Source organism: Homo sapiens, chromosome 10, assembly GCF_000001405.40.
Source record: "Homo sapiens chromosome 10, GRCh38.p14 Primary Assembly".
Taxonomy (NCBI): domain Eukaryota; kingdom Metazoa; phylum Chordata; class Mammalia; order Primates; family Hominidae; genus Homo; species Homo sapiens.
Genome location: NC_000010.11, coordinates 61,221,429 through 61,227,134, shown reverse-complemented (window position 1 = coordinate 61,227,134; position 5,706 = coordinate 61,221,429). Strand labels below are relative to the sequence as shown.

The 5,706-nt window shown below is 38.2% G+C and overlaps 1 pseudogene; it reads right to left on the bottom strand.

Moving 5' to 3' along the window:
* Nucleotides 1-865: 865 nt before the first annotated feature.
* Nucleotides 866-939, bottom strand: LOC124900292 (uncharacterized; annotated as a pseudogene).
* Between the last annotated feature and the right edge of the window lie 4,767 nt (nucleotides 940-5,706).

Here is a 5,706-nt window from a genome sequence, read left to right as displayed (position 1 = left end):
GCATTTTCCTTCTTTCTGAAGGACTTCTTTTAACATTTATTGCAAGGTAGGTTTACTGGCAACAAATTCCCTTAATTTTATGTGAGGAAGTCTTCAATTTTTCCTCAATTTTGAAGCATAATTTCACAGATAAAAATTTTCTAGGTTGGCTATTTTTACTCTTCAACACATTAAATATTTTCATTCTACTCTCTTTTTGTTTCATGGCTTCTGAAGAGAAGTCTGATGTAGTTCTAATCTTTGCTTTTGTACAGGGAAGGTGTTTCCCATCGGCTCTGGTTTCTTTCATAGTTTTCTTTGTCATTGATTTTTTGAGATTTGAACCTGATATGCATAAGGGTTGATTTTTTCTTTTTTTTTTTTTTTGAGATGGAGTCTCGCTCTGATGCCCAGGCTGGAGTGCAGTGGCGCCATCTCAGCTCACTGCAGGCTCCACCCCCCGGGATTCACGCCATTCTCCTGCCTTAGCTTCCCGAGTAGCTGGGACTACAGGCACCCGCCACCTCGCCCGGCTAATTTTTTGTATTTTTAGTAGAGACGGGATTTCACTGTGTTAGCCAAGATGGTCTCGATCTCCTGACCTTGTGATCCGCCCGCCTCAACCTCCCAAAGTGCTGGGATTACAGGTGTGAGACACCGCACCCAGCCGGGTTGATTTTTTTTGGTGCCTGTTGTTTGGAGGTGTTAACTTTGAGAAATTCTCAATCAATATTATTTCAAATATCTCATTGGGTTCCCTTTCTCTTTGTCTTCATCTTCTGGTATTCTTATTATATATGTTACACCTTTTGTAATTGTTTTACAGTTCTTAGATATTCTGTTCTGTATTTTTCATTTTTTGCTCCATGCATTTTTTTTTCACATATGTGACTCTTCAAAGTTCACCTCTTCACTGCACACTGAGGAGTCTGCAGCATTACCAAGGTGTCATCATACACTGCATTTCAGTTTTGGAGGTTTTGATTGACTTCTTCAAGCTCACTGATTTTTTTTTTCTCAGCTGTGTTCAGTGTACTAATGAGCCCATTGAAGGTATTTTTTAATTCTGTTAAAGTGTTTTTTATTTCTAGTATTTCTTTTTTCATTCTTCCTGATATTTTAACAATATTGAGTTTCCATCTCTTTGCTTACATTACCCATCTATTCATGAGTATTGTCTGCTTTTTTCAGTAGAATGCCTAGCATATTAATTGTAGTTTTTTTTTTTTTTTTGATGGAGTTCCGCTCTTGTTGCCAGCCTGAAGTGCAATGGCGTGATCTCAGCTCACTGCAGTCTCCACCCTCTGGGTTCAAGTGATTCTCCTGCCTCAGCCTCCTGAGTAGCTGGGATCACAGGTGCCCACCACCATGCCCAGCTAATTTTTTGTATTTTTAGTAGAGACGGGGTTTCACTATGTTAGCCAGGCTGATCTTGAACTCCTGACCTCAGGTGATCCACCTGCCTCGGCCTCCCAAAGTGCTGGAATTACAGGCATGAGCCACTGCACCTGGCCCTAATTATAGTTATTTTAAATTACTGGTTCAATAATTTGAATTTGAATACCTCTACCACATCTCAGTCTTGTTTCAATGCTTGCTCAGTCTCTTCAAACTGTCTTTTTTGTCTTTTAGTATGTCTTGTAATTTTTTGAAAGCAAGATATGATGTATTGGGTAAAATAAACTGAACTAAGTAGGCATTTAGTGTGAGGCTTTATGTTTATATGGCTTGGGCTTAGATTGTGTTTATTGTTTGCTATGGCTGTAGATGTCAAATGCAAAAATTTTCTCTGATGTACTGTTTTTGTCTCCCTATTGTTTTGAGGCTTTTCTAGAGATTTCCTCTTAAATAAGTTCTGAGACATAGTTACATTACAGTTTTATTACACAAAAGACCTATTAATGTGTTTTTAACATGTGGGGAAAGGTAAGGTATTCTATCATCCTATAATTTGGTCTCATTTTTTTAGTTTGCTTGTACCCCCAAGCTGTGACATTCACAAATGCTTTTTAATAACGTTTTGTTTTGTTTCACTCTTTGGTGAAACGGGAAGGCTAGTAGGAACTGGGTGTTTCCCTTCTCTTGGGTCAATTAGGCCCTAGTAAAACCCCAGTTAGCTAGACTGTGGTAAAATACTTTCTCTTGAAGGCAGAGCTTGTTAAGAAAAACAAAATTTTCTGGGCATATTCCAAAATGTCTGCTTTTTCCTCCCTCCTGCTGAAACACAAGGAGATTTTTCTCTAATCTTCACTGTGAGAATTTGTAGGGATCTTAGAAGTAAAATTCACATAAGTGTGTGTCCCCCTCCCCAAGACTACTCTCTCTATCTGGAATTTTTAACTCTTACACTCACCCATACTGAGCCTCTAGCAATTTATCAATTACAATTTAAGTTTCCCTACCCCAATACTGATTGCCACTAAGGTTTCTGCTCCTGGGCGTCTGCTGCGGTAAGTTGTGATCTTCTAATTTGGTGACCAGTGGGTTGTCCTGTGGCATCAATTCTCTGATGGATTTAAAAAGAGTTGCTGATTTTAAGTTTGTTCAATATTTCTCTTGTTGTAAGGATGGGAGTGACAACTTTCAAGCTCTTTACCTTTCAGACTAAAAACCAGATGTCTCTTGACTCATTTTTATCCTGGCTATGTATTAAAATTTTCTGCTTCTTAGTATACTTAGTGATTTTTTATTGGATCCTGGATGTTGTGATTTTATTTTGTAGAATTCTGAATTTTGTTATATTTCTTTAAATAATGTTTACTGTGTTCCCACAGGTAATTAGACAATTTGCACATCAATTTGATCCTTTTGAGTCTTGAGTTTAACCATTTTCATAGAGTATAGACTAGCTTTTCCTTTAGGAGTCTTTGATGAACTGTGTAATCATTCAGGTTTCTTCATGAGGCTTTGGAATTTACATGATGCCAAATCCTGTATAAATTCTGGGAATTGGCTGGGCATGGTAGCTCATGCCTGTAATCCCAGCACTTTGGGAGGCAAAAATAGGCAGACTGCTTGAGCCCAGTAGTTCGATACCAGCCTGGGCAACATGCCAAAGGCCTATCTTTATACAAAATACAAAAAATTAACTAGGCATGGTGATGCATGCCTATAGTCCCAGCTACTCAGGAAGCTGAGGTGGGAGGATCACCTGAGGCAGGGGAGGGTGAGACTGCAGTGAGCTGTAATCATACCACTGTGCTCCAGCTTGGGTGACAGAATGAGACTCCATCTCAAAAAAACAAAATCTGGGAATCATTTGGTTTGCACCCCCTGCCCTCCAATCCTACTAAATTTTCTTTTCTCAGAAGTTGTTCTTTGTCCAACTTTGTGTCACTCTTGCATGTGCAGATTGGTATTTAGTCAAAGACTCAAGGACAGACATACACATATTTCTGGAGCTATTTCTCTGCATATGTCCCTTTCTTAGTAATCTGCCTTTCAAATTATAGCCACCTCACCATTTCTGGTTTCCAAATGCTGTATCTCCAAATCCACAAGGCTTCTAGACTATGTTTGGATTCCCCCTCCCTGTGCCATAGTTTTAAATGCCTCCAGGCATAAAGCCAGGGCAACTGTGGAGCTCACTTTATTTGTTTACCTTCTTTCAGAAATCACAGCCCTGAACTGTCTGTTGTATAATGATGGAAGACAATTGTTTCATATATTTTGTCCTGTTTTCTAGTTGTTAACAGTAGGAGGATATATCTGGACACTTTTACTCTTTCATGGAAGGCAACCTTTCTTCAAGGAGTGATTGGCATCAGGGAAGTCCATTCTTTCCAGAGCAATTCCCACTAGGTCTCACAGAAATTAGGCCTTATTATCTGCCTCTCTTCATTCCTTGACATTAGCACAATAGACAACATCAATATATTTTGAAAAGCCTGGTTTATTCATTCTGGAAAACACCATATGTGATACTTCTACAAAACAGTCAAAAGTTGAGCTTTAGAAATTTCAATCCAATTCATTTCAAGATCACATGAAAACATTGCCATGACACCTTCAATCTCCTGGGTCTTTTTGACCTCTGCCCCAATTATGGAAAAAGAATTCATGCCCATTATCCAAGTACAGTAAATATTTTTTGGAGATTAATCAATCTAAATGTTAACTTGGAAAATATATTTTTCCTAAGGGAAACATAATACAATAGGATGAAATGCCAACTAAAATAAAAATAGCTTTCTACAATATTATGGAGAACTGTTCAGCTTTTGGATCCACATTTTCTTGAATCTCTCTATTTTCAAATTTGCTTTATCTTTGAAAAACTTCAAGGTTTATCAAAGTGGTCTTTCAGTGCAGAGAACATCTGCATAATGACTTTATGTTCACAAATCATATAAAAGGCGAATCAGAGAAAAGCCTGAAGCTTTTAAGTATAGTTCTTTCCAGTGTATGACATCTCCAACAAAGTTTTAGAGATTCACAGGACTTATTCTAAGCCCTAGGTTAAATCACATTTTTTCCCTCTGCCTCCAGCAGTCTTTTTAAAAAGGAATCTTTTCAAAGAAAGTGGCCAAAGAAGGAGTGTCCAATTATGAGATGAAGGCACACAAGGATTTCTTCCCCTCTTTCAAGATTTTTCGTTCTTTCTCTTATTTGGTTAAGAGGCATATAGATTACCTCAATCTAATCCTGCCACCATGTAATCAAGGTTCTGGGTCAAGTAAAGATGCATGAAATTGAGCAAATTATCAGATCTCCCTTTCTCATGTATGAAATAATAGTATCACATAGCTCACAGGGCTGTTTTGAAGACCAGGTAATTTTTTTTAAAGAGACAAAAAAATAAATATATCTCTTTGCTTTTTTATGATGCTCCCAATTTAGTGTTATTGAATTTTATAATCATATATTCTTTGCATGTATGTGTTCTAAAACCACGTAAAAAAGTGTATCAGAAAACTATTTCAGTTTAAAGGTTTTTGAAATTTTAAAGTCTTTCTGATATGGGATAGATTTTTTTGCTTAAAAAGTCCTCTGGTGAGAGAACTACATATGGTCAGGCCTATATGTGCAGAGAAGAATAGACTTAACAGTTTTGCTGTGATCTTAAATTAGAGCTTGCTGGTGACTTCATGAAGATCAAAGTATGTTATTATGCAGAAGTATCAGTGGTCACCTCCTCCATGATCAATAGTTCAGTTCTTCTCTGAGTAAAGAAAGAATGCTACTGAGTGTGAATCCACCATCAATTGCTTCTATCTCTTGATTACTTTGTCACTGAAAGACTGAAGGCAGAAAGCAGGGTTATGGTAGAAGCCTTGAACATGACACCTGATGGTTCCTGCCTCCTGGTATTCACATTCTTGTCTAATCACCTCCCTTGAGCGTGGGTTTCATTTAATGACCCACTTCTGATGAATGGAATGTGGTAGGAGTGACAAGATGTCATTTTCAAGGTTATAAAAGACTATCACTTCTATCTCAGGCTCGTCCTCTCTTTCTCTCTCTCTCTCTCTCTCTCTGTCTCTCTCTCCCTCCCTTCCTCTCTTTCTCTCTCATCATTTATCCTGGAGGAAGCCAGTAGCCCTTTGGAGAGGACAAAGTTGCCAGAACCTGAGGCCCACCAACAAACATGTGGATGAGCTTGAAAGTGCATCTTCCTCCATTTGATTCTTTGGATGATACTACATCTTGTTCTAACCTAACATGATATCTTCAGCCAGAGGCTCTCAGCTAAGCCATGTAAGCCAAGTTTGGATTCTTGGCCCACAA